General features: G+C 35.8%; 1 protein-coding gene across 10 annotated transcripts in view; it reads right to left on the reverse strand.

Moving 5' to 3' along the window:
* DDHD1 (DDHD domain containing 1) overlaps positions 1-22,002 on the reverse strand; it is a 116,569-nt gene that overhangs the window by 12,100 nt on the left and 82,467 nt on the right. For 5 of the 10 annotated variants that reach the window (XM_005268105.3, NM_001160148.2, XM_005268102.3 and 2 more), the window contains 6 exons: positions 14,089-14,351; positions 12,272-12,347; positions 9,623-9,772; positions 6,806-7,058; positions 5,584-5,775; positions 2,990-3,073 (listed from right to left, as the gene is read on the reverse strand). In XM_005268105.3, coding sequence (XP_005268162.1) covers positions 2,990-3,073; positions 5,584-5,775; positions 6,806-7,058; positions 9,623-9,772; positions 12,272-12,347; positions 14,089-14,351 — 1,018 coding nt within the window. The remainder of the gene's footprint in view (positions 1-2,989; positions 3,074-5,583; positions 5,776-6,805; positions 7,059-9,622; positions 9,773-12,271; positions 12,348-14,088; positions 14,352-22,002) is intronic. The other 5 variants (XM_017021669.2, NM_030637.3, XM_017021668.2 and 2 more) reach the window with 1 other exon arrangement.

Genomic DNA, 22,002 nt, shown 5'->3' on the forward strand with positions numbered 1-22,002 from the left:
GATGAATTACAAAGGAAAAAGAAGATGAAAAACAGTTGGAAAATGTGTTAATATTGGTGAAGACCACAAAGTTATAATTTTTAAGACTTCACTTTCAAATGCCACTTCATAATGTTTTCCTAGTCCAACACTCTTTAGTTACAATTCTGTTTTTTAAGTCAAAGAAAGGAAGATATTTCCTGTTTATAACATGTGTTATTTGGCTCCACTTTGATTTTATGTTCCTGAAATTATTCTTAATATGCTATTACTGTCTTACAACACTGCCTTTCATTGAGTAGGCACTCAAATGTTAAATTTCATTCTTGTCCTATATTATGTGCCCTTATCATTTTATCACTTAAAGGGACTTTACTCAGTGTCACTAACCAGATTGACTCCATCTATCCTTCCATATTTATCTACAGATTGTCTCCATCAAAGTGGGTATTAGGAAGCTAGCTTGTACTTGATGAACCTGTTTCAGTTTCTCGTCCTCCCTGAAAAGGTTTACCCCAGGCAGTCTGGCTATCAGTGCAGTGGACCTCACATCTATGTTGGTTATGTAGGTGGATGGATGAAACTAGGTGGGCCTATGTTCCATCTTTTTTCTCTCTTTTAGGTAGATGACAGATTTCCCAAGGGAGTGAGGGTCTACATAGTAGCATCATTCTGTATGTGCTGTGAGATCAGCTCTTGGCCAAAGTAGGCTCAAATCTACATGGATTAGCCTAGGACCTACTTTCTCATTATTACCATCTCAAGAATGGGTGTTGTCATTCAGGTTGGTAGTTTTTCCCTGGTTTCTCTAACTGAGCTAGGTCAAAAAAAAAAAAAAAAAAAAAAAGAACATAAATTATCACTTCTTTTTCTCTCTGGAATGCCCAAGTGACAGAATTTCTCTATCCATAAAAAAGAAGAATCAGGTTTCTGAACAGTTGAAGAGAAGTAAAAATGAGAAAAGAAACTGTGTTTTTAAACAATCATCAACTCTTTGCTTACACTGTTTTAAAACACGGATTATTTTCTTTCTGGGGTGTCACATACATAGGCATATTTCTTTCCCTCTTCCCCAAAGTAGAGTATCTGCTACATTCCATGTGGAAGTGCTTGACAATCAAGGAATCTCCATAGTGTGAAGGTCAAGTGTCATCAGTAGCGTGCTTTCATCAGAGAATTCTTTTGTGCACAAGGCTTGTCAACAGACATATAATAAGTAATTATAATATATGGTAGAATGTGATGAACCACAAAACAGAGGTACAGTAAAGGACTCTCTCAGTTCTAAGGAATGAAAGATGGCTTTCACCTGGAGAAATCATAAGAGGCTCTCTGGAAGGAGGAGGATTTGGACATGTAGAGATGAAAAGACATTGCAGGGAGAAGAAACAGCATGAGCAAAACTGCAGAGGTGGGAAGCATGGGGTATGAAGAGAAATACAAGTTAGTTTTCTTGAGAAAAATCAGGAACGATTAAAAGGGAGTAGTTCTGAATTTGCCTAGAAAATTTTGTCAAACCAAATTGTGAAGGGTCCAACAAATCTAGCTATTCATTTCTTTGTATGAATGATTTTCATAGGGTCAAACAAATCTAGCCATTCATTTCTTTGTATGAATGATTGAGACCTTTCTCCAGGTGAAAGCAATCTTTCATTCCCTAGAACTGAGAGAGTCCTTTATTGTACCTATGTTTTGCGGTTCGTCACATTCTACCATATATTATAATTACTTATGCAGTTATCTACCTTCCCTACTAGAGTTTATGCTCTTTAGAAAATACACAATTTTCACACTAGCATCTTTATAGGCAGTATTGAAATTTGTTTCATCTTATCTTTTCTAGTGACTGCCATGGTCTCTTGGCTCAAGGTAAACAGTGAAGTAAATAATTGTTGAGTGAATGAAAACAGGAAGCGCAAAAAGAAGCCATATAGATATTACCATCTGAATCATTTTGTGTAGTTATGACTACAGGTTTAACTACTTAGGTAGCTAGGTAGGATGGTTTTGAGATACTGGATATATGGGCTACTTGGTTGCAGGACAAATATGAATGAATTAATTTTCCTTTCTCCAACCAAAAATGCAAAAAACATAAATAAAATTATTTATTTATGAAACAGGCTGGCTTGGGCAGAGACCAGAGACAGCACTTATGTAAGATAATTTCTTAAGGGGAATTCACTGAGTTAGATCAACGCAAACTGAAGTAATGTAAGAGTTTTTTTTTTTTTTTACTTGAAAAAATTTATGAAAATTGGTGATCAAATAAAGAAACTGTAAAATGAGATTTGGTTAAAACATTAAAAGAAAAAAAATCCCACAAAGCCCTGTAACGTGTTTTGTCAAAGACAAAATCCAGCATTTTTTTTTTTAAAAGAGAAGCTGTGGAAAAAGAATCAGAAGTTAGTCATAAAAATAATTTTAAACTGCTAAAGTTAATCCATAGTGATACATTTAGAATATACTGAAAATTAAGAGATTAAAAATATCTCTTACATCCAAGAATACTGTTTTTAAAAGTGAATGTACTCCCCTAAACTACATTAAATATCTGTGTTGAAAGCAATCAGCTATGACATACCTACAACCCTAAGTGGTAAATTTACTGATACCTGAAATAACCAAGAATGATGACATTCTTTGTACTATTAGAAACCCTTTTATATCTAAATGTATTAAATGAAAAGAAATAGCAAACCTCTTTGGAGCCTTTAGGACAATAAAGAAGGAAGAAAATGACCTTATGCTTTTCTTCAGGTTCCTTCTTTGTAGAAGTATACACAAATATACTTTAGCACATTAAGTGGCTAGTCAATTTTCAGGTTTCAGAACCACTACCATTTAAGACTAGAAAATATGGGATGAAAATACACATAAAATAGTCTGTAATGGTAACACTGAAGCTGGGATCTCATAGAAGAACTGATCCAATTTTTCAATAAGCAGAAGAACTCTAAGTAGATCATTTTTATAGTATTCTGAATGCTATTCCTGACATATACCATACCGAGGGCATTATCTTTATTCTGCATTACATTTTCCGGAAAAAGAAGTTGTGGGAGATTAAAGAACGATTCTTGAAGTCTGAAATCTGTGAAAAAAAAACACAAGATGCTGTAAAGGGTTGGCTGATGATTAAAAATGGCCTTCAATGATGTAGTGGCCAAAAGTTAGAACAATACTCCCAAATAAACTGACTAAATCTAGCATACATAAAGTAGTACACATCTTAATTTTTGTAAGGAGCTCTTTCATGGAAAATGTAAGCATAACTAACTTGAAATATAATCTCATAATCTGTTAACACCCAGATAGTCCCCAAATTCATAGCTAATTTAGTTCCTAACCTAGATGCAAAACAATGCTAAAAGAAACAGATCTTTGCATTATATGTTAGAAAAGAAGTCTAGACTTTTCAAAAGAAGAATAGCTAGGTAAGATGCTTCAACTGGATGAAAATAAAATAGGTTTCAATTGACAACACTAGTTCTTCACATAAAGAAACAGACAGATCATGAATTCTAAGCCTGTGCCCCATTTTACCCTCAAATAGCAAGTGAATCAAAGTCGGTAGCTTCAGAATAAAGGTTATCCAGAAGAACTGAGGCAATTAATGTAAGTAGAAGGAAGAAAGGAGGGAAGCCAGAATCACCTAATCACAATGACCAAATTTCAGAAAGAAGATTTAATGAAGAAAAGTTTTATGATTTGCACGATATAGCCAAGACAGCACTTAACGACGAGAAATTATGACGATTACACAGATTACATTATTGAAGCAAGCCAAATAATTAGTAAAGCAAATCTTGGGAATAGGATTTAAAAGGCAGAATCTTATTATAATAGTCCAATTTTAATAGTTATATCTATATCTAGAGGTGAATATGTGTAATATGTATAATATATAAGTATGTGTAATATGTGAATATGTGTAAGACTCATAATTACCTCATATTGAGTCTTGTTGACTATTTTACCATTCGGACTATCAAAGAATTTATGTGTAAGAATGACATAGTATGTATTTTGTTAAGCTCTCAAAATAAAAAGATGCAATACAGCTATGCACCTCTACTAACTGCTGTTCTGGAAGAAAAAACTGGGGGTTTCTCTATTATTTTGAAATTACTATGTTAAACAGAAAAAAAAAACCTAAAAAAGTTTTATTCCCTCAGAGCCTGTAGATTCTATACATACGTTTTCATTACCCTTTTTCTAGGGGGTTAAACCCTACCCTGCTCTTCTTGCTCCCTCCCTCACTCTGATGTTTACTAGCACTACTGTTGCACATTAATGACATTACAGAGAACCATGACTTTTTACCTGCTACCTTACAAAATTCTTTGAAATTAATTTTCTTCAGCAGTTAGAGTTTTCTTGACATCTGCATGTCACGACAGAATTTTGTATTTTCACAATCACATTTTTGATATTAAGTAGAAAAGGAAACAAGTCAGAAATAGTATGAGAACTCTTATAGAAGGTAAAATATATTTAATGCAAATATCAAAGTCTAAAAAAGAATTTTCCAGACTTGCAATTATAAAATTTTCAGTGTCCAGAGTCTGGCACAGATATAATTAAATTAAAAATGCTGTTGGCCCAAGTAGGAATGTTCAACCCTATTAATAATTCATCCTGGAGTGGAGTTGACTGTGGAAGAATTATTCAGCCTCTAGGAGTGTCACACCTGAACTTTCTAAGGATGGATGGCAATGAATGCCATCATTTTACAATTTAGAGTAGCAGACACAGTAAGAACACAATACTCTAAGTAACAAATAAAATCTGTTTAAAAATTTCTAGAGAAAGAAAAGTTTTCTCCCTGCTATAGTTACAGAAAAGGAGTAGCTAGTTTCAGAATTTATATTTCATTATAGGTGTCAATGAAAAAATAGGACTTGACGTTTTAGTTTTATTTTACTAGACACCTAAAAATAATGTTCAAGTTCAGACTCTTGGAAGTAAATATATACTAAGTGTATTCGTGTTTCACAACTACTCAACATTTCAAACTTTCTAAGTCCACCGGAGAAAGCTTAAAGATCCATATAATGCTAAGTCCAACATAACTATCCATTTATTTACTCATTTTTTCAATATCTGCTTTACACTAGGTAGCTGGGATAGAATTGGAAGCCATTCAGCAGATCCAATAAAATTTCTAAGCTTTGAATAGAAGTAGGATGACTTTGGTATAGCAGTTTTTAAAGTCTCAAGACCAGATACAGCATAGATCTAAAGCAATAATTACACGATTTTTGAGACTGAGAAGATCACATTAGTAAAAATCTACTTTATAAACTTCAGGGGGTACTTACCCTAAAGAGATTTGTTTTATGCTTGATGGTTAAGACCTTGTGCCACAAGGCCCTAATTACTAATATTCTATTAATTCATCAATGCAGAAAGTAAAACTGCATTTTCCTGGAAATTATTCTTAAAAATATAAGCAGAAGGAAAGCATTTTTTTCTTTCAAAGTTAAGGCACACTTTAGATCTTAGAGTTGACTAGCTAGTATTAATATTTTATACCTCCCTGCCCTCCCCAAGTTTTAAAAAGATACAGTATCAACTTAAGGAAATAATGTATGAACTAACATGCAGAATCGAGGAAGCCAGAACTGCTATGTGGAAGGGTCTGTGTCCCTACGGTGGTAGCAGAAGGTGAGGCAACTGGCTTCTTCTCATCTTCCATTGAGTCTTTTGATGTTTCAGATGACTGTGTTGTAGATGAACGTCCAAATCTTGAGAACAACATTCCTCCAAGTCCCTTTCCAATGCTAGCAGCCCCTGTATTTCACAAAGCAGGGTAGTCATTCTGTTGAATCACACCACACTCTAAGCTAAAGAGCACCACCCATAATTATAGCCAACTGGCAGAGGGACCAAACCCTAGTCATGTTTTTCCAGGGTGGGAACATAAGAAAATTATAATTTATATTGCAGGTTTCTAAATAAAAATGGTGAATAGAATGAGAGTTGTATAAGCTCTAGGAATATAACACAGGAATATATAAACAAAGGAATAAAGATTCTATTTTATTCAAGTGATCATGGTTTATTAAAATATTTGGCAAGATTAAAGTCTTTGATAAAAGAACCATGCCATTGACATGAGTATAGATTTACTATTGATATACTTACTACTGAATTTAAATGGACATGTAAGAAAAAGCCATCAATAAACAATGTATTAACATGAGAAAGTAAAACAGCCAATGAGTCCAGGAGATAAAGCCTATTTATAGTGCCACCTTGTGGTATTTTACATTAAGGCAACTTGTAACCAAAGGCAATGGACAGATTCAAATACCACATAATCGAGTTCCAGTGATACAGCAAACATTGTGCCAGTACTGGAGATCATTCAAAGAAAAATTAAACATCCTTGTTGCCCTCAGGAATCACACAGTTTGAGAGACTTTTAGAATAGATCAGAGAACTGGTTGACAGGGAGCACCCTCTGACACAAGTGCTTTCTCATTTCACAGATGAGCAAGTAGAGCATTAAAAACTATATTATTTACTCAAGATCTCACAGCAAGTGGTAGGACCAAGATTAAAATGAGGGACTTGATTCTCATAACAGCTTTTTCTGGTCCATCCAGCTATCTTATATTCTAAAACTATAAGATCTGATCTAATCAGAGAACTTTAGAGCTTTTTGGGCCTCAAATATGAACATTGGGAGGGTAGTTAATTCTAGACACAGGGATTAACTGCTGGGAGTTTCCTAATACATAGAATACTTCTAGTCCCCCAAACTTATGTCTAGGAAAGTGCTTATATGCATAGATAAGGAATACATAAGAGAAATTACCTAATATGCTTGCTTTGCCTATATTTGTTATAGATTCTCCATAGTGTCGGCGGGACAAAACTGGTGAGGTCACAGGGCTTGGTATGGTTGAAATGCCTTCATTCTCTGAAACTGAGGTAGGTTCTTTAGCTGGGTTGAGAAAGCTTGGCTTCATATGTTCATAAGGTAAAGGATTTGAAGTATTGTACCAGTGGATCTGGACAGGTGAAATGTTGCTGTAGTGTTTCAGTATTAATGGTTCTAATCTATAAGCCTTGATTTAAAAAAAAAAATTCAAAGAAACACAGTGTTAAATCACAATGCTTGGATTTTAGTAAACTGTTCTTACTCTACTGCATGTTAAGTAAACCTCCGAGAAGGAATTTAATTAAAAAACAATAGCTATTTCAAACATGTATTTCTATTTGTTCACTGTTAATATGCACTTGATCTAATGATGAGATTATGAAAAACAGTCTAGGCTAATAGTGTCTATCAATTAGTTTTTCAGAGAAATATTTTTATTATGTTCTGATATGTAACAATTAGATTTATTTTAGTCTTAGGAGCAAAGTTGAAGTAGTAGATGGTAATCCTGGGAAACAGCAAATAAGGCCAATTTTTAATATTTTAGGAGCTCTATTTAAGCTCTGTTTTAAAATAGATTGATACAGTAACAGCATAAATCAGATGCCAGCATAAGAGCATCTGTCTGATGTGAAGTAGCAATGAGACAGCAGAAAAGGCAATGGATACGGCATCAGAATCCCCCAAATTCATATTCTGGTTTCTATCACTTATTTTTTAATTTACATTTTTAGAAAATTTTATTTTTTAAGATGGAGATGGGGTCTCGCCTTGGTGCCCAGGCTGGTCTCAAACTCCTGGGCTCAGGCAATCCTCCCACCTCAGCCTCCCAAAGGGTTGGGATAATAGAGAGCCACTGCGCCCAGCCTCTGTCACTTATTAATTGCATGATGCTTGTTAAGTCACTAGGTCTCGGAGCCCTGAGTTTCCTGAGCTGTAGAAAGGAGGTAACACTTCCTCTCTTACAGAGATGTGAGAAAGAACAGATAACATTTGTAAAAACTGCCTTGCACCGTTCTGACGTAAACTATTTAACAAAGTATTAATTTTTTTAAAAATCACAGAAAAACTATAAAATGAATAATAAAAATTTAAGAGTTTGGAATCCTCCTTTAAAGTTACAACAAAGTTTAAGTTATACAAAGGACAGGGCTCAGAGCAGACCTATGAACTGAAATTCACTTTCAAGTTACGAGACAATGAATAAAATGAGTATATGTTAATGAAATGCTTATTGTCTAGCTGGGTGTATATATATTTTACTTAATCCTAACAATCCTAGAAGGCAAAATATTATCATCTACATCATACAGATAAGATACAATCTCAGAAATAACTTGCCCAGGATTGTGCAGTTTGTATTTGAATCTTATATTAAACTTCCAGTTCAGTGAAGTTAATATGGCAGTTGTAAGTCTTTAACATATGAGAGATTTTCTAAAATTCGAATGGTTAGTCAATGTTATATTTATTTGGTACTAGCTAAAAGGATCCTTTAAAAGACTTTCCACAATTATATGAAGCTATTTTTTCAGAGAATAAATGCTATTTAAAATAGTTTAATATTTAGTTAAACCAGCCTTGTCCCAAAGAAGTATTAAGGGGGCATTTTTCTTGTCTGAAAATCTTACTTGGCATTACACTGTTTAACAGGATGCAAGGTTCTTGGAGTGCTTCCATTAAAAAAAATATTTACAGCATAAACATAATAGAGAATAGAAAAATCCAACATCTTACAATTCTATTAGGCTATAATAAAGTTTTATTTTGATGTTCAGTATTTGAATATTTTCATTTTTCAGAGAGTCTACAAAATACATTCCAATATTGTAGCATACTTTAGATTAAAAAAGTATTTAGAGCAGGATTTTTAAGATTTATGGTTTCTAGGTTACTGGTATTACAATTGGTTAAGGTTTGAAAGTCCAGTAGACTCCTGTCTCTTGTACTAACTGTCTGGGAATAATATTTTTACATTACACTCTTGTATTACAGGTGCAACATAACCAGACCATCTCTAAGGTACTTTATCTCATGAGCCCTAAATTAACCAAAACACACGTTTAATAATCAGATAAATGAAGTGTTTTCATTAATTCGATGGCACCTTGTAAGATGTCTTAGACAGATTTTTACTTTTTGGAGACAGAGTCTCGCTCTATTGCCCAGGCTGGAGTGCAGTGGCACAATCTCGGCTAACCGCAACCTCTGCCTCCCAGGTTCAAGCAATTCTATTGCCTCAGCCTCCCGAGTAGCTGGGATTACAGCCGTGCCCAGCTAATTTTTTGTATTTTAGTAGAGATGGAGTTTCACCATGTTGCCCAGGCTAGTCTCGAACTTGAGCTCAGGCAGTCTGCCTGCCTTGGCCTCCCAAAGTGCTGGGATTACAGGCATGAGCACCACGCCCGGCTTTTTTCTTTTTGTTTGAGATGGAGTCTCACTACTCTGTCACCCAAGCTGGAGTGCAGTGGCATGATCTTGGCTCAGTCCAACCTCCACCTCCCAGGTTCAAGTGATTCTCCTGCCTTACAGGCACCCACTACCACGCCCAGCTAATTTTTGTATTTTTAGTAGAGATGAGGTTTCACCACATTGGTCAGGCTGGTCTTGAACTCCTGACCTCAGATGATGCGCCCGCCTCAGCCTCCCAAAGTGCTGGGATTACAAGCGTGAGCCACTGTGCCCAGCTGATAGATTCTTTTTAGGAACAATTTGACATTGAGAAAAAAAAGAGTCTATATTGCAACTCACCACTGGATCTGTAGGATGAAAAATATTTAGTAACCGGTTACAAATCTCTCTAGGCAAAATATGGTCTTGACTTCCAGTATTTCCTGGGCGGATGCCACGCAACGCCAAGAAAACTGCTAATGGGGATCCCATACAGAAGAAATTCTCAACCTAAAATGATAAAGTCATCTTAAAGTTTAAAAATGGTGAAGTGTTATCTTTCAACAAAATTTGGGCATAACGTAATATATGGCAAAATACAAATAATAAAATATCTTTGAGTATATTCGTTTTTAATAAGAGTTATCCAGATGGGCTCTGCCAACCATTAACCATTCTAGAATAATCTATTTCCATGAGATACTTCATTATCTTTAAATCTAATACAAGTTGAATAAAAGGAAGATAAGGATCATTTTCTTATATATTTGTATACACAAATCAAATATTTATTGAGGTACTACTTTGTGTGAAGTAATACACTCGGTGCTGTGATAGATATAAAGACCAGTAAGACACAGCTTCTGCACTCAAAATTTACAGTCCTGTGGGGAAAGCAGAATAAAATACGTGCATAACAGAGGGAAATAATGCTTTAAGAGAGTGAAAAAAATAATTCCAACTTTGAAGGCTTTACAGAGGAGGTAGCATATGCATTGGCCAGTAAAAGACGAGAAAGGTTTCTACAGCTGGGGTTGGATATTGGTGCTGGAAAGAATAACATTCCAGGCTGATAGAACCAAATGAACTAAAGCCAAGGTGGGAAATAACTTGGTTTATTTTATTTCATTTATTTATTTATTTTTTGAGACCGAGTCTCGCTCTGTCACCCAGGCTGGAGTGCAGTAGTGCGATCTCAGCTCACTGCAAGCTCCGCCTCCTGGGTTCACGCTATTCTCCTGCCTCAGCCTCCTGAGTAGCTGGAACTACAGGCGCCCGCCACCACGCCCAGCTAATTTTTTTGTATTTTTAGTAGAGATGGGCTTTTACTGTGTTAGTCAGGATAGTCTCGATCTCCTGACCTCGTGATCCGCCCACCTTAGCCTCCCAAAGTGCTGGGATTACAGGTGTGAGCCACCGTGCCCAGCCATAACCTGGTTTATTTTTGAGAATAAAAATAGTCTGATAGGCTGGGTGCGGTGGCCCACGCCTGTAATCCCAGCACTTTGGGAGGCCGTGGCGGGCGGATCACGAGGTCAGGAGTTCGAGACCAGCCTGGCCAACATGGTGAAACCCCGTCTCTACTAAAAATACAAAAATTAGCTGGGCGTGGTGGCGGGCACCTGTAATCCCAGCTACTCGGGAGGCTGAGGCAGGAGAATCACTTGAATCGGAGGGGCGGAGGTTGCAGTGGGCCAAGATCACGCCACTGCACTCCAGCCTGGGTGACAGAGCAAGACTCTGTCTCAAAAAAAAAAAAAAAAAAAAAAAAAAGTAATGATAGTAGAGATGAAATGCAAATTCTACAATGGGATCACTCCAAAGACCATACTCTTACGGCTTTTAAAAATATGTTATAACTTACCATATTGTTTTACAATGTATGGTATATATTTTTTTTAAAAAAACACTTTGTAAGTAATGGAGATAGATTCAATTTAAAAACTCTTAACGTTTTAAAGAAATTTCTGCATCATTCCACATCTTAACCTGTGTGTTAAGTTCTTGTGAGAAAAGAAACACATTTCAAGAAGAGGTAATACAGTATACTAGACATGAGCAAATACTCAACAGGAAATGAGTATTAGGAAACTTATGACATTTCCCATTTAACACTGCAAGCAAGTTATTTGTTATTCAGCTATAGGGTATGTCCTTTCCAATAGTCTAGTCAATGCTGACACCTCTGCCACATTTTCCTAAATCACTGCTTTCAACAGGTCATTCTAATACTTAAAAACCCTGCAAAGCTTCCCAATGCCTATATCAATGTAAGTTCCTTATTTCTAGCTATTCCTGCTCTCTCACTGCCTCCTTGTCCTGACTTCTGTATATTATAGCTAAACTAAGTTTGCTCACACAGCTCCAAGCTAACCTGTGCACCTCTGTCTTGTGCTTTTGTCATATATTGTTCATCCATTGAAATGTCAGCTTTCCATCCCTGGAATCATTACTCATATACTTCCTCTGATTTTTTTCTCACCACTGACCAACTAGGTGGTCATTAAGATTTCTTAATTCTAAATAGTAAATATTTCTCATCTGTCTCTATTTTTCTTTACCACTATTCTAGATTAGCTGATGTTTCTTGAGGTATATGAAGTTACAGCCCTCTATGCCTTTGTTTATGCCATTCCTCTTAAACAGAATAGCATCTCTCCTTTCTTTCACTTGGCAATATCTAATTTACTGAGACCAAGTACAAATATCACTCCTTTGTAAACTTTTGCAGGCAAAATTAGAACCTCCCTCTCCTGTACATATATTGTTCTGTATACTGATAATAGCATCAATAATACTGTGCCATATAACCTGAGGACTGGGGAACTGACTTGTCTATTCTTTTCTTTGTACAACCAGAAATGGCAGTGTCCAACATATAGTATATGTTGAATAAATATTTATTTTGAAAGAACAATAAACTTTCATTTGAATCCTAAAGGCATATTTCACATGACGTTAAAAAAAATACTGAGATCAATGTTGAAGAACACATTGCTCTTTCCTTACCTTAAATTTTAAGGCAGGTGTTTGTGTCATAGATGATGCTTTCAATCCGTGAAGCCGTTCTTCTATTTCCTTCAGCCTAAGAAGGGGTATGAGATTATATACACACACGTATTTATAATTTCATAAATATTAGATGCTTGCTAGCTTACTAAAGTATAAAGACGCAGATGATGGCCCACTATCCCTCACATTAATCCTGGTTGACAGTATTTAATAAATGTCTCTGCCACAGTACAGAAAGTATATAAAAATTTATGAAATAATTAGTAAAGTACCGCTAGTTGTCATGATACCTGCTGTTAACAGCTTTTTTGTAGTAAAATGTGAGTCATATACAAGCACATATACATCTTTTAAAAAATTATACCAAATGGTTAATACCATATATACTGTTCTCTCTTTTCTATACTTAAGAGTTTAGAGATCTTTTCATTTCATTGCCTCCTGACCTACTTCAATTTTTTTTTTGTAACAACTATGACTGTCCAAAATACAGGTGAACCATATAGTCTAACCCTTCTGTTGATGAACATCATTTTCAATTACAATGTTTCATAGCTACTTACATTTAGTAAACTATGGAATTAAGTTATTATTATCATTATTATTTTTTAAAAGCTATAGTTGGCCAGGCGCAGTAGCTTATGTCTGGAATCCCAGCACTTTGGGAGGCTCAGGTGGGTGGATCACTTAAGGTCAGGAGTTCAAGACCAGCCTGGCCAACATGGTGAAATCTCATCTCTACTAAAAATACAAAAATGAGCCGGGCGTGGTAGCAGTTGCCTGTAATCCCAGCTACTGGGGAGACAGGGGCAGGAGAATCACTTGAACCTGGAAGACAAGAGGTTGTAGTGAGCTGAGACCGTGCCACTGCACTCCAGCCTGGGCAACAGAGCAAGACTCCGTCTCCAAAAAAAAAAAAAAAAAAAAAAATTTGTTATTTTCCATGCTTTTTTTTTCTTTTTTTAAAGTTTTACTGGATTTATACATCTAAAATGCTGCTCCGAGTATTGCCAAACATGACATTTTATTTCAAACCTGTCAATTATTTTGACACTATAATATTTGTGTGTCTAGCCTATGGTACTTAATAAGATTCTAAATGAAATCCTTAGTTAACATCTGTAAGACAAAAACAAAACTAGTAAAAATTTTAGTCAATTAGCACATTTGTTTTAATATGCTAGTAAATTATCAAAATGAGTGATTTTTCATTTTTATATTAGAATTAATCATATAAAGAGAACAAAGAAGATAAGGCATGTAACTAGAGATGAAGATAGGAATGCAGCAAAGAATTAAAAGATAGTATCAGGAGGGCCACAAATGATTAAATAATAAAATCTTATAATTATATAACACATATAATTATGTTTATACATATAACATGTAAAAAAATATATTTGCTTAAAAAAAGCACTTAAAAATTATTTTCAGAATAATAAGAAAGGTAGAAACCCACCTCAAAAGGTCAGTAAAACTACAAAGGATTATAAACTGGTAAACATTTTCAATAAGGATTCTATGCAGTGACTAAGCTTGGAATAAGTTTTAAATTTCACTCCTAACAAACTGTGAAGAAACGATGAAAGGAAAACAAGGAGAATAACAAAAGAATTTATTTTATGCTACAGGAAAATGCATGTAATTAGCATGAAAATCAACAGTCTCCAGCTTGATTAGGCATGCTATATAGTAATCTTTGTATCTTGAACAATGCATTATTTCTTTATCATGAAATTCTTAGTTTTCTCGTAAGAGGTCCAGTAATTCCATAAAGACATTTAAAAATTTTTCAAAAGATGAGGATATTTTACCGTCGTTTAGTTATATAGAGTTCATCAAGAAGATGTCGTTCTTCATAGCTCATCCATCGTTCATCAGGCAACTCTTCTTCCTTTTGCAGCAACTGTTCATACAGCCGAACTGGATTCCAGCCAGTCATTATGTCATAAGTAATTACACATCCCAAGGAATGTGATACTATTGAGACTTTACCCCCTTTTTCTTCAAAGTCTGGATTCCGAGAACAGAAAAGGGAATACAATCGATTCAGCTCTTGCTGAAGGCCTTTAACTAGCTGTTTGAAATAAGAAAACATTATCATATTAGACTTGTCACTGACTACTATACACTTATTCTAAACTCAAATACATTAAGGTAGAAAAACATACATTACCGATCAAATATACCTAGGTTATTAAAATTAACTTAGGTCTTTCAAAATCTTGCAGGAATGAAGTAAGGTATACATACTATTATAATCCATATCATCACTAAGAACATAGGCAGATACTACCTACATAGATCCTTCTGTAGTCCTTAAACCAACTGTATAAGCCAGCAGTTCCATAGATTAAAAAAAAAAAAAACCAAAGTTCTATGCAAATACCAATAAGATTTTCAAAGACCCCCGCAAATTTCTTTTTTGTTGTAACTTACCCACATGCAATTCTAAATTTTTGTACCTTGTAGTTTTTAGTCAGTAAGTTTTAGAAAATGAGTATCTGGGCTTATGATAATAGGTATACTAACATATTATAAATTATTGTGCATTTAGATAGAGTAATGTAATAAAAGGCCACTGAATGATTGAAGAAAAAACAAAAGTTGATCTACTGGGTATTTCAAAGTTCCCACTAAGTTGGCAATACAGATATAAAAGTAAAAAGTTGTTTTCTATGTCTGGAAAGCAGGGCTATTTTAAGTTTAGAGGTTAATAATGTGGGGAGTATTTTCGTAATTTTTCTTTGTAAAAGTGCTTTCTTTGAAATTAAGCTTTAACAAATATTACTGAAATATTCCATAAAGTCAGAAGAATAAGGTTCTTTTGTTACTCAAACCCATCCTGGGCCCTGATCTGAGTTTTAAGGCAGTCTTCTTTCTTCCTACACTTTACAAACTACTGATTTAATGGCAATGTACATAAACATCTTCTAAGACATGGGTTTTAAGTAAAACTCTAATTAACATAGTTTCAGGAATATGCAGTGTGAAATACTACATGGCTCTGTCTGAAAGGAGCTATAATATGCTTTGGATTTGGCTTTGATAAGAATATCAACCAATCCTTAAAATTTCATTATTTTCCTGATTTACAATCTACATGAGGTAGGTACAGAGAAGGCTAATGTTTAGATAAAATAATTTCCTTTAAAAGCAACAGTTCTTAATCGTTTTTATTTTTGAAGACCTTGATTTTAAGACTTGTACCATGTAAATCTCAAAGCACTAAAAGATATATACTTTAGTACTCTGACAAAACATACCTAATCTTTTTGTTTTTATAAAATACCAGCTTACTCCCATATTAAAGTTTGTTAAAAAAGGAAATCACACTACCAGTAATTAACCTATTTCATATTCAAAAATTTTAAAACATCTCTCACTACACCAAATACTTCATTAGTTTGGCAATCATATATGGGTAAAAAAACAAGATCAAATTATCTAAGGCAGAGAAAGTCTATTTGATACTAAAATATTTCACTATGGAATGAGGCATAGCATGGACAGTTTCTGAAGACCTTGATGATGTCATCTGTTTTAATAATTATACACTTGAAGAGAAATGGCCTTTGTATTTCCTTATTAGAGCATATCTGGATTTGACAGCATTTTCTTTTTCTATTGCTTATGCATATATATGAGACATCTATGGTCAGACATTATGATTTTGAAAGCCAACTTTTTAAACAGCTTTGTACTACCTCTAAATGCTTCTGTATCTCATCCGCTCATCAGTGAAAGGAGAAATTCATTTCTATGTTGTATCCAACGAGTTTACTCTAATTGGAATTTTTTTTCCTTTTCCTTCTCCTTTCTGATCCAATTATATTCTCCTAATTAGGATCCCTTTGTGACCAAGTGTATTCATTTGGGACATCTCAGCCAAGATTAACAATATATACTGTGATCTTAACTTTATTATCTATTAGGTCTACAATATGATCTAATCAACTCAACGAACCTCTTACACAGTAAGCACTGGATAGCTTTTCAAAAGTTTAAAACAATTTCTAATTTCCATAACCACTGCTCAAGAGTTAAAATTTACGAAGGAAATGAACGTAAGGAGGAAAAACCCGGCAGTTTCAAGAGTTGAGTCCAAATACACAAAATATGGCTGAGGAATAGAGTTAGTCCTTTGTTCTCCCTGCTTCAAGAAATTGTAATGAGAAAATGTAATTGAGAGAGTTCTAGTCATCTATATCAATTAAATAATTCAAATAATGTCAAGATACAGCTAGGACAATTCTCTTTACAATTCTTCAATTTTAAAAGCTATTAAAAAGAGAGTTCAGATTTACACAAGATGTACAGGTCTCTCTGGATTTCTTGTGTTACTTTAGAGTTGAAGTAAGGGCCAAAGGCTCTCTGATGATCTCTTGATAGTCTGAAATTAACTTTTTTGGTTGATTTTTTAAACTGGTCCTCAGAAAGTCATCTGAGAAGTACTGATTGATATACACAACTTTTCCCCTAACCATGACTTTTCAGAAATTATTAGGAAAATCATTAGGGTTCTCCCATGAGCATGTAAGAATCTGAGAGTTAAAAGGGACCTCAGCAATGATCTAATTTAAACTGCTGTGAAGGTAGGAGTCCCTTCAGTAGCATCCCTGAGAAGTGGTCACTCAGTCTCTACCTTAGTGCATATCTCCATTTTAAAGTGTCCACTTCTATCTTTAGAGACAGCTTTGTTACTACAAAGTTCATTACAGTCAACAAACATGTTCCTTCCCATATTTTCTATCCACTGACCTTTACTTTTTAGAGTTAACAGAATAAGTCTATTAAAAATATGGTGGCCCTTGTAAGACATAAATATACACAGAATCAATCATAATTTGAATGTCTAAGGACCATGAATTGTACCGGAAACTTTATACACATTTCATTTTTAATCCTAATGACAAATTTTATCAGTACATATTTTATCCCATTTTATAAGTGGGGAAGCTAAGAAAGTGAGAAATTCGATCTAAGATCACAGAGCTGGTTAAGTGGCAGGTTTCTGTTGTTGTTGTTATTTTTGTTTTTTTAGATGGAATTTCGTTCTGTTGCCCAGGCTGGAGTGTGGTGGCGTGATCTCAGCTCACCGCAACCTCTGCCTCCCAGGTTCAAGTGCTTCTCCTGCCTCAGCCTCCTGAGTAGCTGGGATTACAGGTGTGCACCACCACGCCTGGCTAATTTTTGAATTTTTAGTAGAGACGGGGTTTCACCATGTTGGTTGGGCTGGTCTCGAATTCCTGACCTCAAGTGATCTGCCTGCCTTGGCCTCCCAAAGTGCTGGGATTACAGAAGTGGCAGGCTTTGAATCTGCATCTATTTGACTACAAAGGCTCAGAGAAGAAGGGGGAAAAAGGCTCTTTCAAATGCCTCACAAATAAACCAAACAAGGTTCATTCACCAGGCATGTGACTTAGTCCTAATCATTCCTTCCCTAAGGAAACATATACTTTTAAATAATTTATCCTAGAATATTGCCTAACACCAATGCCATGTTAATGTATTTTAATTTACAGAATCAACTTTTCTTTTTTAAAAATAGGAATAGGCCGGGCACAGTGGCTCACGCCTGTAATCCCAGCACTTTGGAAGGCCGAGGTGGGAGGATCACTTGAAGTCAGGAGTTCAAGACCAGCCTGGGCAACATGGTGAAACCCTGTCTCTACTAAAAACACAAAAATTGGCCAGGTGTATTGGCTCGTGCCCGTAGTCCCAGCTACTCAGGAGCCTAAGGCACAAGAATCACTTGAGCCCAGAAGACAGAGGCTGCAGTGAGCTGAGATCGTACCACTGCACTCCTGCCTCCGTAAGAACCTGTCTCAAAAAAAAAAAAAAAAAGTTTGCCCACCTCTCACTTAGGAAGCACCCCTTTTGTTCTTCACCATGCCTTAAGCAGTGTTTTCCCAGAATTCCCAGGATAGTATCAAGTAGGGGAACTGTTAAAAATACAAAATCACAGGCTCCATCTCAGAACCACCAAATGAGAATCTCTGGGAGATCCGGGAAACTATTCCTTTTCTTTTTTTTTTTTTTTTAAATGAGATGGGCTCTCCCTCTGTGGCCCAGGCTGGAGTGCAATGGCGTGACCTCGACTAACTGCAACCTCCGTCTCCTGGGTTCAAGAGATTCTTCTGCCTTACCCTCACCAGTAGCTGGGACTACAGGTGCCTGTCACCATGCCTGGCTAATTTTTCTATTTTTAGTAGAGATGGAGTTTTGCCATGTTGGCCAGGCTGGTCTGAACTACCAGCCTCAAGTGATCTGCCCGTCTCGGCCTCCCAAAGTGCTGGGATTACCAGCATGAGCCACCATGTCTAGCCTCTTTTTTTTTTTTTTTAGAGATGGAATCTCGCTCTGTCACCCAGGCTGCAGTGCAGTGGCGTGATCTCAACTCACTGCAAGCTCTGCCTCCTGGGTTCACGCCATTCTCCTGCCTCAGCCTCCCAAGTAGCTGGGATTATAGGCGTGTGCCACCACGCCCAGCTAATTTTGTATTTTTAGTAGAGACAGAGTTTCTCCACGTTGGTTAGGCTGCTCTCAAACTCCCAACCTCAGGTGATCCACCCGCCTTGGCCTCCCAAAGTGTTGGGATTACAGGCATCAGCCACCGTGCCCTGCCCAGCCTCTTATTTGAAAATAATTTCAAATATATAAAATGTTGCAAAATAAAAATAACACAAAGATCACTCATATAACCTTTACCCAGGTTCACATATTGTTAGCATTGTATTCCATTTGCTTTATTCACTTGTTCTGTTTCTATGATAAACACATAAACCGTCACCTTTTTTGGGAATCATTTGAGGATATATTATATATGTCATGATCTTTTACCCCTAAATTCTTCATTGTATATTTTCTAAAACTAGGAATATTCTCTTCTATAATCATAGTAATCAACTTTATAAATTTATTTTGATATAATATTTCATCTAATCTACCATCCACATTCTAATTCTGCCAGCGTATCTAATAATATCTTTTATTGCAGTTTCCCCTATCCAGTACAGGATCCAGTTCAGGATGAGATACGGTATTTAGCTACATGTCTCTTTAGCATCCTTTGATCAGGAACATTTTCCGCAGCCACTCGGCCTTTATGATACTTTTTTTTTTTTTTTTTTGAGATGGGGTCTTGCTCTTTCACCCAGGTTGGAGTACAGTGGTGTGAGAACAGCTCACTGCAGCCTCGACCTCCCAGGCTCAAGCAGTCCTCCTCGGCCTCAGCATTCCGAGTAGCTAGGACTACAGCCCAAACCACCATACATGGCTAATTTTTAAAAAATTATTTTTGGTAGAGACAGGGTCTGGCTATGTTGTCCAGGCTGGTCTAGAACTCCATGGCTTAAGTGATCCTCCTACCTTGGCCTCACAAAGGGCTGGGATTACAGGCGTGTGCCACTACACCCAGACTGATAATAATATTTTTACAGAATACAGTCTCATTGCTACTTTTTATTACAACATCCTCATTTTGTGTTTGTCTGATGTTTTCTCATTGTCAGAATACTGTAAAGTGATGTGTTCTCCTGTGTGTGTCACATCCAGAGGTGCATAATGTCCATCTGCTCCTCAGGAATACCCAGTTTAGGTACTGCTTGATTTCTCCAGTGTATGATTATTGTCGCTCTTTCTTAAACGAATTATCAGTTTGTGGGGATATACTTTAAGACCATGTAAATATCCTGCTCCTCATCAAAATACTGCCTTCAATTTAGTATCCATCGATGATTTGTGTCCAGTCTTCTCTTACCTAATCCTACCATGATAGCTGCAAAATGGTTTTCCAACTCCAGGATTCCCTCCATCAGTTGCCCTTTGGCATTCTACTGTAAGCAAGGATTCTCCTTTCTCCCCATTTATTTGCTTATTTATAGTCAATATGAACTTATAATTTTTTCAATGATCTATAAATAATAATTTTGGTGCTCAAATGTTCCAGATTTGGCCAGTGTGAGCTGCTTAATTTGGCCCTGTGTTCTTGTGACCTACCCCATGATTCTCTTGAGCATCTTCCTACCTTCTGTCATAACAAGTTGTCCCAGCCCCAGAATCAGCCATTTTCCTGAGGAACCCTGGTTTTCCTCAGTGGGAAATAATAGCGCTAGAGGAAAAGATCTGGGTGCTAGGTGTGCTCAATTAGGGTGTCTTTGCTTATTGGCCACTTTAATGGACAAAGTTAGGAAATACATGCATGAACAGGCATACCCTGTTTTATGGCACTTTGTAGACACTGCATTTACAAATTGAAGGTTTGTGGCAACCCTGGTGCCACTTTTCCAACAGTGCTCACTTCATGTCTGTGTGCATTTTATAGCAATAGAGTATTTTTAAATTAAGGTATGCATATCTGTTTAGACACAATGCTGTTGCACACTTAACAGACTATAGTATAGTGTAACCATAATTTTATATGTACTGGGAAACCAAAAAATTTGCATGACTTGCTTTATTGTGACATTCACTTTATTGTGGTGGTCTGAAACCAAATCTACAGTATCTCTAAGGTATGCCTGTATATATACATATTCACCTACATATATAAGTAATACTTACAACACACATGCATATTTTAGAAATTGTTGAATTTACAATGGTACCCTCAAATTCCAGTACCTGCCACCCCCGCCCTGGGTTTATTTTTGCTGTTATTTTTAATGAGTATGAAATGATTCTAGTCAGGGATGTTTGAAAATCACTGCTAAAGATTGCTGATGAATCTCAGTCACCAGTTCTCATGCTCTCCCATGAAATTCATCTGGATCAAAAGACTAATTCAAAGGACTGGGTGTTCCCTTTGCCCCCCATTTATCATAGCCATTGGTTCCCTCTTCCTACTATCTATTTTATTCAGTTCCTTTCTGAGGATAGTTATCTTTCCACATATAAGAGCATTACAGAAAGTGACCATTTGCTCAGTCACCACTAGCCAACAGCCAGAGCTCTGAGCCCTCTTAGGGGTACCACCAACCATATATATGCACATATGTGTATTTGTATGGTAACATGTGCTCTGATATCCTCCTCCCTCCACTCTCACTGGTTTTACTTTTAATATTATATTCTGTGCTATAAAACTCCAGAAGGAAATCGTAAACATACCAAAAATTTGCAAGTATAATTCATTATTTTCTTTATGTTCTACTCTCTTCCCCTACAAAAATCTGGTTCCCTTTCCTCCGTTTATAGTTAATATCAGAACAATCTACCAGTTGCCTAAGCTAGAAATTGTAAGCATCATCTGTCTCTTCTCTTCCTGTATCATCCATAACAAATCATTTCAAGACCACTTAATTCTATCATATTTTGAATCCATCTCTTCTCTTTATTCCTATTGATACTATTTTGGGTTAGAACCTTGTTATTGCTCACTTGAATTTATGAAGATAGAATTGGGGTATGGAATAGAACTGTTTTTTCCTTTTTTCATTCTCAAGAACATAAAAATATTGGGGAGAAATGAGACACAACACTATCTGTTACTTCCTTTGCCAAATCTATGTCATTTTACTAGCTTATAAAAATGAAAATGTGTCAAAATGTGCTCAGAAAATATTTGGCAAATTAAATTTATAAGTTAATACATACAAAATAAACCTGTTAACTCTGAAATGCTTTACATGTCTATTATAAAAATAGTTACAGGTTATGAAACCTTAAGAAATCTGAGATCTTTGTACAGAAAACATATACACTGAATCCATTCCATACTTAGTTTT

The sequence above is a fragment of the Homo sapiens genome, chromosome 14 (genome assembly GCF_000001405.40).
Source record: "Homo sapiens chromosome 14, GRCh38.p14 Primary Assembly".
NCBI lineage: Eukaryota > Metazoa > Chordata > Mammalia > Primates > Hominidae > Homo > Homo sapiens.